This window comes from Homo sapiens, chromosome 18 (assembly GCF_000001405.40).
Source record: "Homo sapiens chromosome 18, GRCh38.p14 Primary Assembly".
Classification (NCBI taxonomy): Eukaryota; Metazoa; Chordata; class Mammalia; order Primates; family Hominidae; genus Homo; species Homo sapiens.
Window position 1 is genome coordinate 64391054 of NC_000018.10, and position 22907 is coordinate 64413960.

At 35.5% G+C, this 22907-nt stretch overlaps 1 long non-coding RNA gene across 1 annotated transcript in view; it reads left to right on the forward strand.

Annotated features, from left to right (window-relative positions):
* LINC01924 (long intergenic non-protein coding RNA 1924) overlaps positions 1-22907 on the forward strand; it is a 319511-nt gene that overhangs the window by 286963 nt on the left and 9641 nt on the right. The window contains exons 6-7 of the long non-coding RNA NR_033881.1: positions 16068-16205; positions 21252-21330. This is a non-coding gene — a long non-coding RNA (long intergenic non-protein coding RNA 1924). The remainder of the gene's footprint in view (positions 1-16067; positions 16206-21251; positions 21331-22907) is intronic.

The window sequence follows — 22907 nt, forward strand, 5'->3', positions numbered from 1 at the left end:
TGCCCTCTTGCTTTTTTGGAATGCTCTGTACTAAGTAACCCCTGGTCCTCAAACCAGTAAGAAGGACATCCAGAACACTTTTTTTCTCTGAGACAGGTTCTACTGCTGAAGATAAGCTGAGAGTATTCCAGGACCCCCTAGGTGTTAGTGGTTCTTCACTTTACCTGAATATTTGATTTGTGGGATAAATTCTAGAAATGCTGATTTAAACATCTTCTCTCCACAGTCTCTAGTCTATGTCCTCTTCAACCCCATGAGTTTACCAATAATACCTTGTGAACTTGACCACAGGAATCAAAGTCTGTAGAATGTGACATATGTTGGCAAATGCCAGATGTATCCACGGTAATGTACATGAACCCCTCCCTAGGTAATAAGGTACCTGCTTCTTCCTTTTAAGATACCTAGTCCTGCAAAAAAAAAAAATTCAATCCTAGTCTTCCAGAACTGTGTTTTCAGTCTTAGAGTGCTAATGCCCATGCGGAAATGTACTTACGTTGAGACAACCTTTGCCTCCCTAGGTGTTTTCTTCTAGGAGGATGTGTTTAATTCAATACATGCTTTATGTCTCCTAGGTACACAGTGACACACACCAGTCATGGGGCACAGTTTATTATGAATGACATGTTATAAATAACAGCAAAAATACCAAGGATTACATATATTTTTTTTTGAATAAAATCAATGAGATAAAACCAAATTTGTGTGACTCTTCCATTATGGTCAAGGTGGAATAAGAAAAAAACAGATTTACTCTATTATCTGAAACAACTAACAAGCAGGACAAAATGTGTGAAATGAAGGCTTTCAAGAAACTGGACATCAGGCAAAAAGGCACCATTATCCCTGAGAGAACAGGTGAGAGAGGCAAGAAAGGCAATTTCTGTACTGCCCCAGCTCACTGCCTGGGGAGTTTCTAGGCTGTGCCATAGGGAGGGGCACCCAGGTTAGATCCGTTCTCAGCAGCCAGACCTGAAACCTCATAATTCATGGGACATTGGGTAAGGTACTCAGGAGTGTCATGCCTTTGTAAAGGGTAATTTAACCCCAGACCAAATTCCGCTTAGACCCCATCTAGCAAAACTTAAGAGCGAGACCTGAAAGGGTCAACATGTTTTTAAGTAACTTAATCATGTCTCAAAAGAAAGCACAAGATTTTTAGTAATACAAAAATATGCAGAACCTCCCCAACAAGATAAAATTCACGAAGTCTGGTAAACAAGCACAAATTGTTGGACATGCAAAGATGCAGAAAAACACTATTCATAATGAAGAGAAAAATCCATCAATCACAATGGGCCCAGAAATGACCCATGATAAAATTAGTAGACAACAACATTTAAACAGTGATTATGAATGTATTCCATATGTTCTGGAAGCTAGAGGAAAGATTGAACATGTTAACTACAAATGTGGAATTTTAAGAAGATCTAAATGCAGTTTTCAGAGATGAAAGCTGTAATGTCAAGGACAAAAAAATACATTGATAGCATTAACAGTGGATCAACATCAGAAGAAAAATAAATGAAATTTAAGAAATAGCAGCAGATGCTTTTCAAAATGAAAACATAGCAAAAAAAAAAAAAAAAGAAGACTAAAAATAACTACCAAAGCATCAATGAACAAAGAAACAACTGAAGAAGCCAATATATGTGTAATTGGACTCTCCAAAGTGGGAGGGAAAGAAAAAAAAAACTAAATAAACAATGTCTGAAAATTTTCAATATATAATTAAAACTAAACCCACAGATCAGTATCCGTTATAATGAAATTGCTTAAAACAGTGAAAGAGAGAAAATCTTTAGAGCAGCTGCAGGGCAGAGAGAGCACGTGAAATACCAAGCAGCAAAAATAAGAATGACAAGCAAATTTCTCATTGGGAACAATACAAGTGAGAAGAGAGTGTAGCAACATCCTTAAAGTAATGAAAGGAAAAAAAAAACTCCTCTTTTAATCTAGAATTTATTATTGAAACTCTATAATAAATCTTTGTGAAAATATCTTTGAAACACGAAGTGAAATAAAAACTTTTTTTTTCAGATATCCAAAATCTGAAAGAAGTTTTCACTGGTAAAGATTGTCTGCTTGGCCAAACTTTAGACAGACTTCTGAATCTTCTCCTAGGCACATCTGTGAACTTCCTTGTAAAATACAGTTTTAGCAAAGAACCTGTCTAATTAAGTTTGACAAGAACTCCCACCTTTGATATCTGATCACAGTCAATATCTGATCAAGTTTCTGATCCTCCACCATCTCCCGAGGAATGTATAAAATAACCCTAGCCTGTCTTTAGCAAGAATCCTGTTAGGTCAATCCTGTTAGCCAGAATTCTCCTTACGCCTGATGTTTCCTCTCAGTAATTTGCTAGCCATTGGTCCTCACCCTGCTCCTTGACTGTAAATTGCTGCTTTCCCATGTTGTATTTGGAGATGATCACAGTCTCTCTCTTCTTGCAAGACCTTGTTGCAGTGGTCTCTATACCCATCACAGTGGTCCCAAGTAAAGTCTTTCTTACTATGCTTTCACAAGTGTCACTGGAAAATATTTTCTTTAACATCACACTATATGAGTTTTTAAAGAAATTTCTTCCAACAAAAATAAAATGATACAGCATGCAAATCTAGATCTATAGAAAAGAATAAAGATTTTTTTATAGATCTAGGTCTATATTATCTATAACTATACTGATAAATATTAAAACTTAAAATTATTTAAACTCAATAAAAGACAATGGTCTGTTTAAAGTAAAAATCATAACAATACATTTTGTGGTTTATGCCATATATAAAAGAAAAATGTATAACCACAATAGTACACAAGCCAAAAGATGAGAAAAGGAACTATACTACTATAAATTTCTTATACTATAAATAAAATAGTATAATATAATTTGGAGGTTAGCTGGGATCAATTAAGATGTATACTATAAGCCCAAAGGTAATGACTAAAATAATACAACAAAGAATTATGCTAAATGAACAAAAAAGATAAAATTATAAAGAAATATATGATTGAACCAAAGAAGGACAAAAAGTAAAAGGGAAAAAGGAACTATGGAACAAATTAAAAACAAATAAGATATTAGAGATAGTACATATAAGTTCAAATGGATCAATAATTACACCAAATGTAAATGATCTAAATATCCCAACTGAGTTGCAGAATTGGTCAGATTACATTAAAAAGTAAGACCCAACTATATACTGTTTTGAAGAAACCCGCTTTAAATATAAAGACAGAAAAGTTTAAAAGTAAAACGATGAAAAATGAGAGACTACACACAAAATATACACTAAAGAGAAGAAAGTTGGAGTGGCTATTTTAGTAGTAGATAAAGTAGATTTCGGGGTGAAGGATATCTCAAAGGAAAAAGGGAATCATTAGTTATTGATAAGCAGGTCAGTTCCTCAAAATACGATAAAAATCATAAAATGTATGTATTTAGTAAGAATGTCAAAAATTGTGAAGCAAAAACTGACAATTTTCAGGACAAATAGACATATCAACAATAAGAGTAGATTAAGCTGCTCTCTTTCAAAAAGTTCCAGGAAAAAAGACTTCAGCAATTATATAAAGGGCTTGAACAATACTATTTACCAACTTACCAAATCAATATTTATATACTACTCCACCAACCACAATAAAACACATTTTTTTTTTCAAATGTGCACTGATAATTTACCAATGTAGGCCACATTCTTGAACACAGTCTCAAGTAATTTTTAAAAATTCAGTTCCTATAAGATATATTGTCTTATCACAATGTTATTAACTTCAAGATCAAATATAGAAAAATATTTGGATTATATCCATACATTTGAGAACTAAATAGGATACTTATCCATAACTTATGAGTCAATTAAGAACTCCAAGATAAATTAAAAAGTATTGTGAAATAAAGGAAAATGGATATTTAATATTTTAAAACTCATTGAATGCAACTAAAGAAAAATGTATGACCACATGCTTCTGAAGCTTCAATTGCAACTAAAACATTATTTAGAGAAAAATGTCCAGTACTAAACACTTATACTAGGACAAAGATATGCCAGTCAATTCAGATTCTACCCTACAATATTAAATATGGAAGAGCAAATGACACCCAAAGTAAGCAAAAGAAAGGAAACAATAAACAACAACAACAAAAGTAGAAAATAGAGAAAAAATGGTGAAACCAAAGCCAGTTCTGTGAGAAAGTCAATAAAATTAATAAACCTCTAGCTAGGGTGATCAGAAAAAAAAGATAAAAGACACAAACTACCAATATCAGGAGACACTGGTTATGTGATTTGGGCATTTTACTCTATGGCCTTTAGCTTAGAGAAATGAACGTGCTAGGTACACACAAAGACTGTCCATGCATACTTACAGCAGGTTTATTTGAAATAACCACTGGAAATAAACCAAGTGTCCATCGACAGATTGGTGGATAAACACATTATATCAATTCAAGAAAATAAAGCGAGATCAAAAAGAGTGCAGATTGTATAATTTCATCTATAAAATTCTAGTAGAATATACAGACTAATCAATGGTTAGCAAATACGGGTAAAGGGATGCAAGGCAGTGTGCAGGGAGGGAGGACTCACAATGGTCCAAGAAGACATTTGTGGGGTGATGATGGATCTTATTGCTATGATGGTTCTATGGGCGTAAATATATGTGGATTTTATTGTATGTATGCCAGTGACACCTCAATATACCTGATAATATGAAATATGTGACTTTTGAGTCCTAATTTTCTTTTCTAAGTTGGGAGAGAGGATTTAGTTGGATTTCAGAAAATGATGGGCAGTCCTGTATAGCTTTTGTTACCACATTCATTCTTTGTTATAGAATCTCCCTGGCAAAGAGTTGAACTTCTGCAGGCTCAGGTCCTGATCTCTTTAGGGTGGCTTTTATATTCACCCTTCACCTGAAAACTTCTTTTGCCCAAACTGTGAAAATGGTTTACTGATCAGATTAATTTCATTTCTTTTAAATTTGGCTGAAATATTTCTACCAGTTTGTTTTCTAGACAGTTGTTTTACCTTGTCCTACTACTTTGCCTTTTACTTATGGAGGAGAATTTATTGTTAGTTTCCACTGTTTTATTCTCTTCCTCCCTTGACCCCTTCTTTTCTTCTCTGTGCCCCTTTTCCTGCCTTAAATTTCTACTTCCTTTTTTCTATAGAATATACCTATATACCTTTTTATTTATTTCAATTTGGCTATAGCTTTTTATTTTTATTGTTAGCTCTTCAAAAAGCTTTTTTCAAAAATAATATTTGAAAACATCAATTTGTCATTAACCAGGTATGTCTTATGTGTGTATTTTTTTTTCATATCAGCACTCTCTTCAGAATTGATGCCTAAAAATGGTCCCTTTTTAATTTTACCCCCTGCTGAAAAATATCATCTCTGTGGTTAAAAAATACTTTTGAGCATGTTATGGTTTGGCTGTGTCCCCACCCAAATCTCAACTTGACTTGTATCTCCCAGAATGCCCACATGTTGACCCAGGGGGAGGTAATTGAATCATGGGGACCAGTCTTTCACATGTTACTCTCGAGATAGTTAACAAGTCTCAAAAAATCTGTTGGTTTTATCAGGGGTTTCCACTTTTGCTTCTTTCTCATTTGCTCTTGCCACTGTCATGTAAGAAATGCCTTTTGCCTCCTGCCATGATTCTGAGGCCTCCTCAGTCATGTGGAACTGTAAGTCCAACTAAACCTCTTTTTCTTCCCAGTCTCAGGTATTTATTTATCAGCAGCATGAAAACAGACTAACACAGAGCACATATATGCTTCATATATACACTCTTGTGAAGTAGAGATAACTAAGCTACAAGTGGGTGCTTCTTCTTTTGTCAAATATGCTGGGATTTTGGTTGGACAGTTTATTTTAAAATTCCCCTGCCATAGTCACTTTATATTTCAATTATCCCATCATACCCAGCATTCTGTATCTTCTTTATTGACATATGGAATTGAAGGATGTCATTGTCCATTTCTAATTTCTTATTTCTGATATATATGCATTTTTTTCTTATTTTGAGTTATTACTACAAGGTTAAATAGCAGCTTATGTCTTTCCCCAAATAGATTTTTTTAAAAGAAATAATAAACATTTATTCTTGTAGCTTGAGTCATATTATTTATCCTGTGTATACAGATCATTATAAAAATGCCTCCCCAAGTTCTCTCCACAAAATTTATCATTATAATTTTCACAAAATGAAGTCCAACATGTATATTTGCTGCCTTAGCCTTTAAGTTGATCCTGGTAATACATCAGTTTTGACTGGTTTCATGGCTGTTTGCTATTTGTTTTCCCTCTGCTTTTTATTTTCACTTAAAAATTAAAAGAATGAATGGGCCCAGTAATGCAAACCATAAATTCTGGAGACGTTCTTAAGCCATGAAGTCCTTTTTGAACAAGTTTTTTTGACAAATCCTTGGACACTTGTTTCTGTTCTTGAGACTAGGGATATTTTCCCTTATATTTAGGAATGGTAATATCTACTGATAGTATTTTTCCTGGAATTCAGATAGAATGGTCACATGATGTTTCTTCAGAAATAAAAAAGTTAATATTCATCTTCACATAAGTAAACAAAAAAACACCTTACATTTACTATGTAAATCCCAATGGTAACTGCAAGAATGTATATATTATTAAAATATCTGAAAGAAAACAGAATGAGAGGAAAATAGCTTCTTGCCAATACATATTAAAGAGATTGAAGAATTGGAGATCAATGAAAATTCTTGGTGTCTAAATGCATAAGCTATCACTGAGATTCATCAGACACTAATTAGGTTGGTTCAGTAGAAGATGGATGTGATGGTCCATTCTGTCACTGCAGGAATAGGAGACCCAAAGGTCCTCAGGGAAGAGTGGGGCTACGCTGATCAACAGCCGCAGGCTGTGGTATCATGTGGTCTCTGATAACTAAGGAACATCACGCTGTTGAAGATTTGGAGAGGGGCAGTGTATGCTTAATTAGGACAGTAGAACATTTAATTTGCAGTCATCTTATTTAATATAGAAATCTCTAAACTGGGAGTGACAATGACATGTTGTGAAGTCCCCTCTGCTTCTTGCGTGAATCTAGGGAAGTCTGTTAACATCAGTTTCCCCCACTCATAAAATGGTGCGTGTGTGTGTGTGTGTGCACATGTATGTGTGTATGTGTGTATGTTTCAATCAGGTTACAGGAAACCACCATAGACAGAAACCTGTTTGAACTCATGGTAGAAATAGAAAAGTTCAAGGGCATACAGTAACCTAGCTTCACCTCTCTATGCTTTGAAACCCGTTTGTGAAGTCATCCATGTATTCAATAAATACTGAGTGGCCCACAATGTGCCTGGCATGGTGGACATAGATGTGAACATCACTGCCTTTGTAGATTTCATATACTTTCTCTTTGTTTCCCTTGCTATGAAGGATATGGACTTGCAGACAGGAAGACCTGAAACTGTTGCACTCATTTCTGTCATCCTCTTTTTCTAGCACAGTACACAAAACACATGTGTGAAATGCATGAACTTATAAATGAACAAAAGTGAGAGCAACAGAGCATTGTCCCACCTTCTCCACTTGTCCTGACTCCTGAAGACTTTGAATCAATATAGGTTTTTCTTTTCTCTTTACTGCTTCTGCTCTTCCAGTTCCAGTTATGCTCCCTGAACACAGCCATACATAAACATGTTGTAAGAGGGTCTGTTGCTTTAAAAAGTAGGGACAAATTTTTTTTTCCAGAGCTGTTGTGTAGTCCCTTAACTCTCAGTGACTCTTATTTCCCTAGCCACCAATAGTGATTTGGTCTTTCCATGGTTTTTAATATATTTTTCCATCTCCCTGGAGCACTATGAGAATTACCTTCTTTTATGTCTGATTCTGTAAAAGGCACCTTCAAGGTCCAAGGAGGAAAAGTGCTGTGCATAATACTAGTAATCTCATCATGATGCATCATAGGAATATTGTAAGGAATAATTGAACACTATCTGTGAAATATGGGACTCTCCTCAGAGGACAGGTGCTCTGTAGTTTTCTTCTGTGTAACTAAGCTTTCTGACTCATAAACAAAAAGTGTCTCCTATCCTACAGTCTCCTATCCTATCCTACAGTCGTTTTTTAAAATTTGCACATGTTATGTCTCTGGGCCTTGAAAGATAACTGCAATAAGAACAAAAGTAGGAAAACTTTTATTTAAATGCTAGTCAAATGAATTTTAGTTTCAGTTATGTAGCAGAAAGCACGCTGATGTGGAAATTAGGGCTTACAGGCTATAATCTCCTTTCTGTGCCTGGATTGTTGTATCCCTTTAGAAGAGTGGTAGAACTATATGAACAGGAAGAACATCTGGTGTGAAGCCATGATAAGAAGTAGACCTCCCTTCCCTTTCCCACCCTAAACTTTTTTGACTCTGGTTCCCCCCAACCCTCCCATCTGGAGTTTCTTGGGACAGAGATCATGCTTGTTTTACATTTTTTTTTTCCTAGTTATAAGCATGGTGTCAGGCAAATGGTAGGCCCTCAATAAACATTTGTGAATGAATGTCTTACAAAATATAAGCCATAATCAAGAGTTGGGTAACAATATTTAGATGCAGCAATTCCAAAGCTTGACATCAGAGACAGCACTTACTGTTCAAAGACGACTGAGAAGTTGATATCCTTAAGAGATTCTCTTGGGAAAGGAACAAAAACTGTCAGACTATGTCATATGGGCCAACTCTGAACAGATGCTGTGCTGAGGGATTTGGGAAAGAGCCCCATGAATTACATTCTAAAATTAAGTGTGCAAGATTGTATGTATTTTTGGCTGACGAGTGGAAATGGTTTGGTAGAGTTGATCCTGCTGCTGTGTTTGAGTGAACCCAACTAGAAGCTGTCTGAGTCCTTAGCACGCAGAAGGTTGAGGGCCAAGGGAGCTTGGTACCACCCTGCTCATCAGCGGGTTAACTGGAGTGCCGTTTCAAGATCATCTATAAAAGATCACTGCAACTTGGAGCCTGAACATAGTGTCCAGCATTGTTTTGGGATCCCTTAGAAAGCAAAATGTTGACGTTTATTAGGTTGGTGCCAAAGTAATTGTGGTTTTTGTCATTGAAAGTAATAGTAAAAACCATAATTACTTTGGCACCAACCTAAGAGGTAACATTAGATTAGGAAATAACGTTTTAGTCTTCTGGATGCAAACTCTAAGTAAGATTAAACAAAATAACAGCAAGTAAGACAAAACAACAAAATAGATTTCACAGATGAGAATCTATATGCTTTTATTTCCAATTATATTTCTTATTTCTAAATTTCCTTCCTGTTCTAAGGGAATTATCATTGAAATATTGTGATTGAAAGAAAGATTTGTTTGGAGAACATTTTTAGAAAATCCAAAAAGATTTTGGATTTTAAGAAATCCAAAACTGAGTGTTCTAGGCATAGTGCAAAGCATTTATGACAATAAAATATCTGGAGTAGAAGAAAGAACAAAAATCTGCTTGACAAGCATGTTTCGAAAAAGGAGGGATAAGTTCAGATATGACTAGAAAAAGATGGCTTTAGTGTGTTCTTAAAGATAGATGCCTGGACTCCATCTTGAAAAGTTCTGAATCAGAAAGTCTGTCTTTTGTCTGTTCTTCTTTTTATAGGTGTTTTCAAATATAAACAGCTGCCACGCCCAAGTAATGTTGCTAATATCCCATGAGAAGCTTCTCAGGTGTAGGCAAACCATACTTGGCTTAAACACTATAAGCATCTTGCCCCATCCCTATGCCTGCCTGGAACATTGCCTTGGTTAGAGGTGTGAATAGAGAGAATGTATGCTGTTCACAGCTAATTAGTGTGCTTTAATTTAGGTTTTCCTTTCTGTTCCATTTCATAAACCCTGACCTTTATCATAACTAACATCCCTCTCTTGCTTTCTCCAAAGTTCCCCAATTGTGAAAGTATTTAAATTCTTTCTGTTATTTAAAAATAGCATGTTCATGTAATCATTTTAGAGTAAATCTTAATAGAGTTTAAGAGATGATTTTTGCCTTTATTAAAGAGCATGCAGGTGCCTTAATTTGCTTTTTTAAGTAAGAATAATCTAAAACATTAGAATTCATAGACATGTGGAAAGGTAAGCATTTTAATACAGTGACAGAATACATTTAATCAGGTAAAGGAATCTAATGAATAAGGGGAAATGCATCAAAATATCAGTTATTGACCCTTGGTAAATGAGAATTCAGGGTGGGTGATATTTTCTATGATATTTTATGACTCTAGTTGGTTTTTAATATTGCAAGTGAATGATAACTTCTGCCACTGCTTTGTCTTTAAAACACTTCAGAAGAATCACTGTATATCAATGGGAGGCTACAGCATGATATAGCTGCATAAAACATATGCTAGTGCAAAGATGCTAAAGAGAATCATTTGTTTTCCTAATAGCTCTATTTCAGCAGACCATGGCCTTACCCAGAAATGCCCTGTTAGCAAAGCTGTCATTCTACAATGATCTCTGGATGCAAGAACGATAATAGAGCACAGGCTTCTGCATTTATTGTAGAATATCATTTTTCCTTTATTTTTGAAAGAATTCATAATTTGTATTCTATTTTCCTTTGGCTAGAATAGACTAAAGTTTGATTCAAGGTAAAAACTCATCCAAGTAGGGAATTATACACTGGAGAAATATTTACAAGATGCACTGTAATCTTTCTAGCTAGAGTACATTAGATTTTCTTCTTATATCCAGGCACTTGAAATTGATACACTGAATATTTTCTTTTCCCCAGGTCACAGTATAAGAATAATATCATTTAGTTTACAAATTATACCTTGGGAGCCAAACTTTATGTAGTACCAAACTAAAGATAGGTTGATAGTGTTTTGGCAATTTACAGACCAAACATCTTCAAAGCCCTTGGGCCTGCAGGAATAATGAGGAGGATGTGATTAAATGGCAGTCCCCTGCTTGAAATCTTTCTGCAGCTTCCCATCATCTTGGATTTAGTTCAGACTCTTCACCATGGCCCACGAGGCCCTAAGGGATCCTGGCCTACACTCTCTCTCAGACTTTATCTTGTATGATTCTTCCTTTTTACTATATTCCAAGTATGCTTGCCTTCTTAATGTCCTTAACACATCAGTCTCATTCCTCCCTTGTGGAATTTGCCCATGCTGTTTCCCCCTCTGAAATGATTTTTTCATAGAGTGTTTACTTAGTTTGATTCTTTTTAATAGTCACACTTCAGTTTAAATGTTTTCACCTTTGAGAGGTTTTGTGATCACCATTCCAGAGTAGGCTCCCAGACACTGAATTATCTTGCCCTACATTTTTTTTTTAAATAACAATTACAACTACATTTTATATTTGTTTACTGTTTCTCACCCCCTCACTAGAAGGTAAGCTCTGTGAGATCAGGTTCCCTGCTTGTCTCATTGCTATACCTGAGACAGTACCTTGTGATAATGGGCACTTACTCTTTGCTTGTTGAATGAAGCAGTGAATGCATAAGTGAGATTCAATCTAAGGACAAAATAGAGCAAATGGAAGTTGATCTCTCTCTCTCTCTCTCTATTTCTTTCTCTCTCTCTTTCTGTGTGTCTCTCAATTTGCTCATGCTTTAATTTTACATTTAAATTCCATGGCAGGCAATATCAAAGGGTAGTTTCAAGTTTCAATTTCCTTCAAGCAAAAAAATTTTATAGTTAAAGCACGATTTGGATATTTTTCTACATTCCTAGAGCTAGCACTCAGGGACTTGGACCTATTTGCAGCAAAGATTGATTAAGTTTCCAAAAGTCTGGCATTTAACAGGAGTTTCCACATTGGTTCTATAAATCTACTGACCTAGAAAAGGTCTTTTAAATTTCTCATGAACACTACCAGACTGTTGCAATGTCAAAGAGATGAAGTAAATATCAGTAATCCAAGAAGTCTGATGCAAAATGGTGCCAACATGAGACTCTGCCATTACATATTTGTCCTTATTTCTTCTTTGGCCTAAACAGTTTGTTTAAGATTCAAAGTTTTTCAACTTCTTTCAGTTTATGTTGTTCTTCCAAATGGTAACCAATGACATCTTGACCTCATTATAAAATAGTTCCGTAGGGGAAATATGAATGAATGAAGGGATGGATAAACAAACAATTTTAAAACATCAATGATGCTGATGAAAAGAATGGGTAATATATTGAGTTATGCTATTTACTGTAATATAATTTCCCTACTGGCCATGCTTAGTTGCTATTTTAATATTATATTTAACTTAAGGGTCAAAGGAAAAGCAATAACAGGAAATAAAAAAATGCTTATATCTTTATAATAAAAAATTATATCAAAATTGTGGCATGAAGCTAAAGAAGAACCTAGAGGGAAAAAAAGCTAAGGATACTGATATTAGAAAACTAAATAGGTCAGATAAAGCAGATAAATATCTACCTTCAGAGGCAAAGGCTAAATAAAGGAATACATCCAAAGGAAATAAAAAGACATTAAATATTAAGGTAGAAAATAAATTAATAAAATTCAAAAAGCTTATTATGTTAAAGTTTGGTATTTGAACCAATATTAATATAAGCATTGATAAAACTTTATTAAAACTAAAAAAATGGAAAACTTGAAAGGAAAATATTAGAAATGAAAATGGGGACACATAACCACAGATATACAAAGAGTAAGAAGATAGTAAGAAAACACTGTAAAACATTTATGACAATAAGTTTGAAAATTTAAACAAAATAGAAAATTCCAAGCAGAGCAAAATTGTCTAATTTTGTTCTGTTTGCAATGCTTCTGAAATGTTCTACATGAATGAAGTGTTGTATTTGATAGGGGCACTCTATTTCCAGTTCATCCTTCTGAAAAACTGACCTTTTTATTCATCTCATCTTGTTCACCTTTAGGAGGGATATAGGAAGTAGTCAAGTAGCCTTCAGCTGCAAGATTCGTTTTTGGTGACTCACCAAGTGACTCTTTTGCCAAAGACATCTATGTTATTGACCTATCTCAAGGACTACATTGTCATCAAAGAAATCAATTTATTGGAGTTAGTAAATCGATTAAAATGCAAACATCCAGTAAAAATGTCTTCAGTATGCAGATTTTTCCATTAATGATGAATAATGAATTAGTTAATACCTAAAAGGCAACTAAAGGTGGCAGAAAAAAGTTTGATGGGGTGGAAACATGCATGTACAGTATAAAGTGAGATCTGGGAACAAGAGGATCTGAGAATGAGAAGAGCTGAGATGAAAGAGGAAATGAACAAAAGGCCCCTAAGTCAGCATTTGAGCACATGTGGTGCCTGGGAGTTTTGGGCTGAGGGTGAAATTAAGCAAGAAAGAATAGCAAAGAAAAATGTGCCTTTTATACTTTGTCTAGGGGCAGATGTGATACAGTGTTTTATTGGAAGGAGAACTAAACTAAAAGTCAAAAGAATTGACTGTTTTTTAGTTGCTGTGGGTTCTGCCTAAGACACTTGGCCTCTCCATAAAGTAATGTTATTTATATAGGAATCCTCTAGGTCTCTCCTTGTTCTGACATTTTGTTTCTATACATTTTACTGCCACTTGCCTAGCCATATGTAAAGCTACTACTTTCCCAGTTATCTCTTCACTAACAACAAAGCTTCTAATTTTCAAGTATCTATATCTCTTATTTCATTGATTTTGAAGTTACACACTCTCCTGTCCTTAAACTGTGGAGCTAAAGGATGTCAACTCGTCATTATTTTTATGGCTATGCTGCCTGTTTGAGTCACTTGTTAGCATTTATGTGTTATCATAAGCACATTAGAGTCAACAATTAATCCTCAAAACAGCTCTTCCAGAGAGGCCCACAAAAGATTTTATAAATACTATTGAAATTCATCTCGTGCCTCCATAGGAAAGTATGCAAGTGATTTTCTGACTGTATAAATATGATTCCATGTCAAGTTTCAACTTAATAAATGGGGCATAGTCAATAGCACGCGTACTAATTAAGCTTCTGTTCTTTAGTATTATTGTGATATATAATTGTTTATTAGCCTCAATAAGATGCTCTGCCAGAATGAGAACTGTCAATTTTGTAAAATTTATTGGCAGGATCTTAGAACCTGGATGGAAAAAGTAAGAGTACAATATAATTGACAGATACTTGTGAAATTTGAGCACATTATCTCTTATTCTCAGGTACAAATGGAGGTAACAAATTAAGTGGAATTCAGTCTAACAAGGAAGAGCTCTCAGCCAATGAGAGCAGTAAAACATGATGTAAATGGATGAGTAAGTGAAACCTTAGCTGAAATTCCATCTTTGGAATGAACAGATGTTGCTTGAACATATATCCTGTCGCGTACTTTCATGCTGGCTCATTTCCTATGGAGAATTCTAAACATATCAACAACATACTGTTTCTATGGGGCTCCCACGTAGATGGCAAAATTACCAAATATTTCTTATTAAAGTTATTTTCTGTGAATGGGTGTTAAAAATCTCATTTGTTTGTGTTCCTCATGCCTACGTTTTTTTCTCTGAGAGAACCCTACAAAGCAGCAAGAGATCACTGAGTAGTGCACTGTGAAGAAATCGTGGGCAGAAAATGAAAAAAAAAGAAACAAAGATAAATCCTATCCACTTCTCATTTCTGCACACACTTTTCTGCCCTGTGGAAGTTAACTGTGGTGTAGACTAGACTAGTCCTCTGTGCCTGGGCTTCAGCTCATATCTGTTTCTGAGCTTGTGCCATTAAAGAAAGTAGGATTTTTGGCTCACTGCATTGGTGTGAGGATGTGAGATAGTGCATAGGAAGGTGCTTATCAAATTGTAAGGTGTGACAAAGTGTTTGCTATACCTTATTGAAACAATCAAACCTGAGGTAATTGGTATTACCATCTCTTGAAACTTCACATATGGTTGCATTTTAACTATAACAATCAAACTACAAATGAAAATTCTGAGTAATTGAATAGTTTTGATATTTAGTACACGTGTATGACCATGTCTACACACACACACACACACACACACACACACACACCCTGAACTCTCAGTAATATACTACAGATTTCATAATATAGTACAAATGAAGCGACCTGTTATTTCTAGATTTAGGATGTCATGAAGGTAGGATAGAAGAAAGAAAATTTTCTCAGTTGGGCCAGGTGACAGTGTGGCTGTCATGAGGCTCAATTGACTCAGAATGCTGTGAAATAGCGTGGTCCTGTCTGGGTGGCACCATATTACATATCAGCCAATGCTGCATCCCTAAACTTAGTGCAACTGTAAAGCCAGCATTTTGCTTTCTACCCTGACAGCAGGTCAGGTCATGCAACATTTCAGTGAAAGCAAAGAAAAAAAGTTTGACAGTGCTAAATGTATTTTTAGATAGTCCCTTAATTGGTCATGCAAAATAATACCCTCCTTTGCCCCATACAAGGCTGATGGGTCAGTATTGAAATAATAGGGTAAAATTATTATGAAAAGAGATTATTTAACAGAACAGATCATGCTTCTTGTCTTGGGGCCTTCAGTTAACAAAAGTTCTCTCTCTCTTTAACCTACTTTAATTCACCTCCCTTAGATGACAGCTTTTTTTTTTTTCCAAATGAGCTAGCAGAAATACAGCCTCAAGGTTACGAATTAATTCAAGTCAAAACAGAAATGATGTGAAACAAAAGATAGTTTCAAAAGCCTGCAAATGTATTAAGTAACATAGAATTCTGTGCAACTAGAATGTATAATATCCTAAATATGAAGGAAAACTCATAATGCACTGTGAAAATCAGTTTGGATAGAGCAAGTCTGACTTATTCATGGAGATATAAATACAATACAATAAAATAAAATACATACAAATAAATACAATAGATGTCTTCAAGATTGTGTAACTATGTCCATACAACTGTCTATGACTCAAATTTTAAAAAAAAGAACCCAGGTTCACAAGAATCTGTAGGTGCTGTAAGATTTAATTCTGGATTGTGAAAGTTCCTTTATACCTTAGATTGTCAACAAAAGTTCCAGTGGTTTATTATATATCATAGCAGAAAGCCATCTTTTTCCAGATTGTTTTGTGTTCAAATAGCAATATTTCTGGCCCTCTAGGAATGACATGTTGTTTGGATTACTGAGCCAGAGAAGCCGCTGGACCATTGAGATTTAGTAGGCAATATGTTTGCCAGCCTTTTTGAAAATTGGAATGTTATTTTTGAACTTTATCGAAGAACATGCTGCATCTCTAAGGTGGGCATTATAAAATTAGTGAACATGTGGTTATCTCTCATTTATTTGTTTGCTACTGAACTAGAAGGTCAAAAATCCACCTTTAAGAGAATATTATTTCTCACACGACTTTCTTGTTTAATGGTATTATTTATATGGATAATAATAAACCTGCTGAATATTCACATTCAATTAAACACACACACACACACACACACACACACACACACACACATTCATACGCATACATAAACTCTCTGGACTACTGTTTTCATCCAAGTAAAGAAATGTCACAAATACAAATATTGAGTTTGATATGCATCTGTTACCATAGAAATGCTTATTTGTGCTAATTAAGATACTTTACCTTGATTAAAAGAATTAGTGGTTCTAGCACATGAAAAGTGGACTGGATTTGTTTTAGATTGATTTGGATGTCACCAGTCTTGCATTTTACAGTGTGCACCTCTCTTTGTGTGCACCTCTCTGTGTTTGCACACAGAATTTGAACCTGTTGCATAAAAACATTTGCTTAGAGTGCTGTGCTAACAAGATCATTGATCTATTTTTGTGTAGGGCAATTAGCTTCATTCCACTCGAAAGCCACACATTGCACCCCTGGTCATGATCTCTACCTTGTAAATGTTTGTCATGTGTCACAGGACAAATCTGGAGACAGAAGCAGTCTGGGTCAGCACAATTTCTTGATAGGAAAAACAACTCAAGGACATTTCTGCTGGTAGTAGGTTGGAGGACGTAGCATGTGAAAGCCAGAAGTGAAATTACAGACAGTTTCTTCCAGCCCACTCAAAGATATCATCTTTGAAAATGAAGACCAGTTCATAATATGCTGAACACAGTGGCTCATGCCTATAATCCCAGCACTATGGGAAGCCAAGGCGGGCAGATCACTTGAGGCCAGGAGTTAGATACCAGCCTGGCCACCATGGTGAAACTCCGTCTTTACTAAAAATATAAAAATTAGCCGGGTGTGGTGGCAGGCGCCTGTAGTTCCAGCTACTCAGGAGGCTGAGGCAGGAGAATCACTTGAACCTAGGAATCGGAGGTTGCAGTGAGCTGGGATCGTGCCACTGCACTCCAGCCTGGGTGACAAAATGTGACTCTGTCTCAGGAAAGAAAGGAAAAACAAACAAAAAACTTATAATATGCAGCTGCGCAGATGCAATGTTATAATAGATACGTAATAGATCTCATATCTTTAAGTCTAATGTGCTACTCACCCTGCAGACACTGATGTTTCTGGGAGGGTAACCGCTTCAAGTTGGCTTAACTATGGGAATATTTGGGACATAGCTCAAGTTTCCTATTTTTGAGGAAGCATTACAACAAATATATTGCTAGGTCTGTTCTTGCTTTGATTGGTCTATGAAAGTAATAGAAACCTATTTTTGGAAAGCCATAATGTCACATAATCCTTGTGATTATTGTGTGTCATAATAGTAATATAATACAAATCTTTTGCAATGTCAATGTTAAAACACATATTAAAGCATTTGCAGTTTCATATTTTCATTGAACATAGTATTATGTAGAGTAAACAAAACAAAATATATTTTAGGCAATACATGCATATTAAATACTACCAAATTTTATTTTTTCGAAGAAGACGTCTCCAAATTGTAAAAATTTTCATATCACTTTTCCTCTGTTCCCCCAAAACTGTGGTGGTGTCTGTAGTATAATTGAATAAAAGTAAAAGATTCAATTACTATGAAATGCTACACATAGCAAGGCTTATTCTAGACAAAGTAGAACAATTTATTGTACATTTAAATGTCCTTATTTACCATTTAAATTATGCCTAGTTTAGTTTAATACTAAACTAAATGGGTTTAATATTGTGAAAATGCTGAGAATCAGAGATAAATTTGGTTAGTTCATGACCTCTAGGGATAAGTAAAACCTGTGCCCCTCGTGTGGAGAAGGTGAAAAAGATGTAGGAAATATCCTCTGTAGTTTGAATGATGACCCATGAAAAGTAGTGTCCATAATTCCAGAACCTGTGAACATGAAAGATTTGCAAAACGTATCGTTGCAGATGTAACTACTTTAAGGGTCTTGAGATGAGCTCTGAGTGGGCTCTAAATCCAGTAACAAGTGTCCTCATAAGGAAAAGAAGAGGAGACATAGATACAGAGAGACCATGTGAAAATAGAGACAGATATTGAGGTTACGTGAGCACAAGTGAAGGAACATCTGGAGCTACCAGAAGCTGGAAGAGGCAAAGAAGGATTTTCCCTCAAAGGCTCTGGCAGAAATAGGGCTCTGCCTGCACCTTGATTTAGAACTTCTGGCTTCCAGAACTCAGAGAGGGTACATTTCTGCTGTTTGCAGCCATTGTTTGTGTTATTTGTCATGGCATCTTTATGGAACTAGCATACCCCTTCTCTTAACTTTCAAACTAATTGAGGCCTTCTGTCAGCTGAAGGAAAGCCTTTAGAGTTCAAAGATGGGGCCCTCTGGTGGTGAAATTTAAGAGACTCTCTAGGGCAGGATTTTTTTTTTTTTTTTTAATTTAAGTTTTAGGGTACATGTGCACAATGTGCAGGTTAGTTACATATGTATACATGTGTCTAGGGCAGGATTTTATACTTGGTTCTATTCAGGGATGTGGTCCCTGAATAGAACATGGAGGTAACTGATGTTTTCACCCACTTGGAAAGTCTCCTCTGTCGACTTGTTGGATTATGGGGCCTTGGTAACATTGACAATGGCAGTAGTAATAATGATAATGTATTATTAAGTAGAGAGCTCATCATACATGCTGGGTATTATTCTGAGACCTCACAATAATCTTATGAGATGGTTGCTATTATTTTTATTGATGAGAAAAATGAGTAATAGAGGGGTTAAGTAAATTTTTCAATGTCAATAGCTAGACAGAGAGCTTGTGCTTATGGTGGCTACTCTATGCTTTCTTGAATGACTTAAAAAAATTTCCTCTTATCTAATTTTATTCTCCTCCTTTGCACCTGCTCATTCTTTTATGAATATGCGTACGTGTTTCTCTTTAAAACAAAATAAAAACCAACTCTCCCAGCCCCCAAATCTCTCACTAGTTGTCACCTTATATCAAGACTATATTAAAAAATAACGAACAGTTAATATCTCCCCAACTATTCAACTGTGGACTAGGTTGAATCATATGACATTGCTGATAATGGACTGATTTTGATGTATAGAATGGCAATCTTATCTGGTTCAGTCAAATGCTTTTCAACCCAATGCAGTCAGCTTCCTACTTTTACCACTCTGAATGTACTCTTTAAAGGTGGACAGGTCATGTCCCACTTACAAAAATGCAGTAGTTACTTTTCATCCCTCTTTTTATTAAAAATAGTTAAAACTAGTAATAGCAGGTAATATTTGCTGGGTGCTTTTTATATAATCAGGACAAGACTAAGCATTTCAGCCCTTGGAAGAGAGACGGCATCCTTTCCTCAATTAAAAGAAGATGGAACTGAAGCTTGGAGAGGTTGCATAAGTTGTTCTCCATACCGGGCAAAGCTGGAATTCAAAGGCTGTTTCATTTCACTATGAAACTCTTGATGGCTATGATATAACACTCTCTAGCTTTTGACACGATTGAGCATTCTCTTCCTGAACACTGTTTTTCTTTCCTGACGTCTGTGAGACTACACTGTTCTCCTTTGACCTCAGGTCGCCTTCCTTTGTTTTGCTGACTCTTATAAGTCTCTGCCTAACTTTTTAAGTGTTCTTTCTAAAGGTTTTGTTTTTGACCCTTTTCTTATTTCACCTTATCTCTTCTCACCTTTTTTTTTTAACTTTATGCACTCATCCTGCGGTTTCAATTATCACTTGTAAACTGTTGACTCTCACATCTCCACCCAGAATTCTTCTCTGAGCCTCAGATGTAATTCACTGTTAGGGCTAACAGTTGAATAGCTTAGGCTGCTCGCTGCTCAAAAACACACATCTATTCACACCCTACACTTCTCCAAACCTAATTTTTTTATTCTCTATTTTGACTGAAATAGTCCCATTGAAGAATCGTGCAAGCTGGGATCAGTTCAGTTATTTCCCCTTCTCTACTTCACCACAAATGATAGTTACTAAGCTTTATACCTATTGCCTCCATAATAATGCTTCAATCTGTTTCCCTTGCTATTGTTTGAGCTCCCTGAAGCTGCTGTCTGATCTTTGCAACAGTCTTTGGACTAGTCTTTCTGTTCCTGTGGTTTCACTTTGAGTGACCTTCCCTGACTTAGGTGGCCTGCCATGGAAAGCTCTATTGGAAGAGCTGTTTTAGGTGGCGCAGCTCTTACCTAGTTCAAAGCAGCTAGGTCTGCTGTGTTTTGTGCCTCCCACAGAATATCTGATGTTTCATTAATATTTGTTGATTAAATACGTGAATTCCCATTTTCTTTGTCAATTTATAAGGCTCTTCAACATATTATTTAAAAAGATGTCATTTTCACAATAAATTTTGGAGTAGGAATACAAACCCATCTTTATTTTATAGATAAGGATAAGTGGTTTTCCCAGTTATGAAGTGAATTGCAGAAATAGAATTAAGCCCAGATTTTTCTGATTCATAATTAGATTCTCTTAAATCTCTGTCAGAAAAAACCCCAGATCTATTTCTGCTCTACACCCCTACAAATAACCCGTTCTCTGATTTGTTAGAGTTTATTAGTAAAAGCCACTGTGTAATGCTACCGGTATTAATATGTATCTGTAATTAGGTGTCACCTTGGAGGTTTCTGGGTCACCAACTACTCATATCAAGCCCCTAAAGTCCTCAGGCATTTTTTGATTAGAGTCTTTTTTTTTTTTTTACTATAATTTTATGGACATAAACTAGAACATAAGTTTAGTTTCCAGAAGTATCCCAGATCATTAAGGCGTGTTCAACATCAATGCTTACATTTATTAGTAGGGGTATTAAGAATGGAATTGCATATTCATTTCACATGGCTGAGAAAGAACTCAGTCACAAGAAATTTAGGTTATGACGTTTGTTTTTCTGTTTCAACTCTCTATTGGCATTTTGCTCTTTGATTCCTGCTGCTAATTCTATTCTAGGCCTGCAAGATTATTCTGTGCCCATCCCATTTATGGACTGCAAACTTACTTGATTCCTGATAGCAGAGTTGAGATATAGGTAAAAGCCATTTTCAAAATGAGCTTTATTAAATATTAAATAATATAATATCAAATATATTTTATGACATTCTTATGCATTTGTTTATATATAATATAAATGTACACAAGTATATTTTAATATATTTGTGTATGTATATTTTATAAATATAAATATTGTTTTGTATATTATAAAAGATACATATAAATATGTATAAATATAAACGGATAAATTTATATATGTATATAAATTTATATATGTTGAAATAAATTATATACATATAAATATATTTCATAATATACATGTTAAGTGTATCAAATAAGAAATACAGAAAATAGAAATACATGATAGCATTTTCCTATCAGAATGAGTAAGAAGTAATTTATCTTAATGTAAAAGGTAGGATTTAGAGTAGATTATGATTCTGTCAATTAAAGAACACATGACTTTGGACAATTTGGTTAACTCTGTATGCCTGTTTTCCTTTGTCATTAGAAATAACCATCTTTTTAGTGACGGACTACTTTTTATCATTAGAAAGTATTATAGAGCTGTGGTGAGGACTGCTATAATAATTAATTTAAAGCCCCTACCTTAGTTCCTGGTATATGCATAATAATAATTATGTTAATGGAAAAAAAAACAAATTCTGTAAAACATTTTAAAGAGGTTTATTCTGAGCCAATATGAGTGACCACGGCCCAGCAAAGATAGTCTGGAACAGTCCTGAGGGAGTGTCCCTAAGGAGTTCTGGTTAGAGTTTGGTTTTATACATTTTAGCAAGACAAAAACGGTGGGTAAAATTACAAATCAATCCGTAGAAGGTATACATTGGTCCAGTCTAAAGAGGCGGTATATCTTGAAGAGGAAGCTTATAGATCATAGGTGGATTCAAAGATTTTCTGACTGGCAGTAGTTTGGAAGCGTTAAGCTTTGACTAAAGACTTAAAAGTCAGTAGCAAGGATCAAGATAAGGGGGTTATGGAGAAAAAGACTCGCTATGCAGATGAAGCCTCAGAGGTGGCAGCCCTCAGACAGAATAGATGGTAAAATACCTCTTTAAAGATGCCAGATTCTCAGCCGGGCGCGGTGGCTCACGCCTGTAATCCTAGCACTTTGGGAGGCCGAGGCGGGCGGATCACGAGGTCAAGAGATGGAGACCATCCTGGCCAACATCGTGAAACCCCTCAGTCTCTACTAAAAATGCAAAAATTAGCTGGGCACGCACCTGTAATCCCAGCTGCTGGAGAGACTGGGGCAGGAGAATCGCTTGAACCCGAGAGGCGGAGCTTGCAGTGAGACGAGATCCCGCCACCGCACACCAGCCTGGCGACAGAGCAAGGCTCTGCGTCAGAAAAAAAAAAAAGAAAAGATGTCAGATTCTCAGTTCATTTCTCCTAGGTCTGGGAAAGGCCTAGAAAGGGAAGGCTTGGCCTTCTACATTAATGGAGAGAGTTTTCAGATGCAAATTTCCGCCATAAAAATGACTTTGCAGGGCCTTTTCAGAATGTGTTGAAGAAATACAATTTGGGGTAAAATATTCCGATTTTCCTTCAGGATCTGCTATCTGTCATGTGATGCTGTGCCAGAGTAAGGTT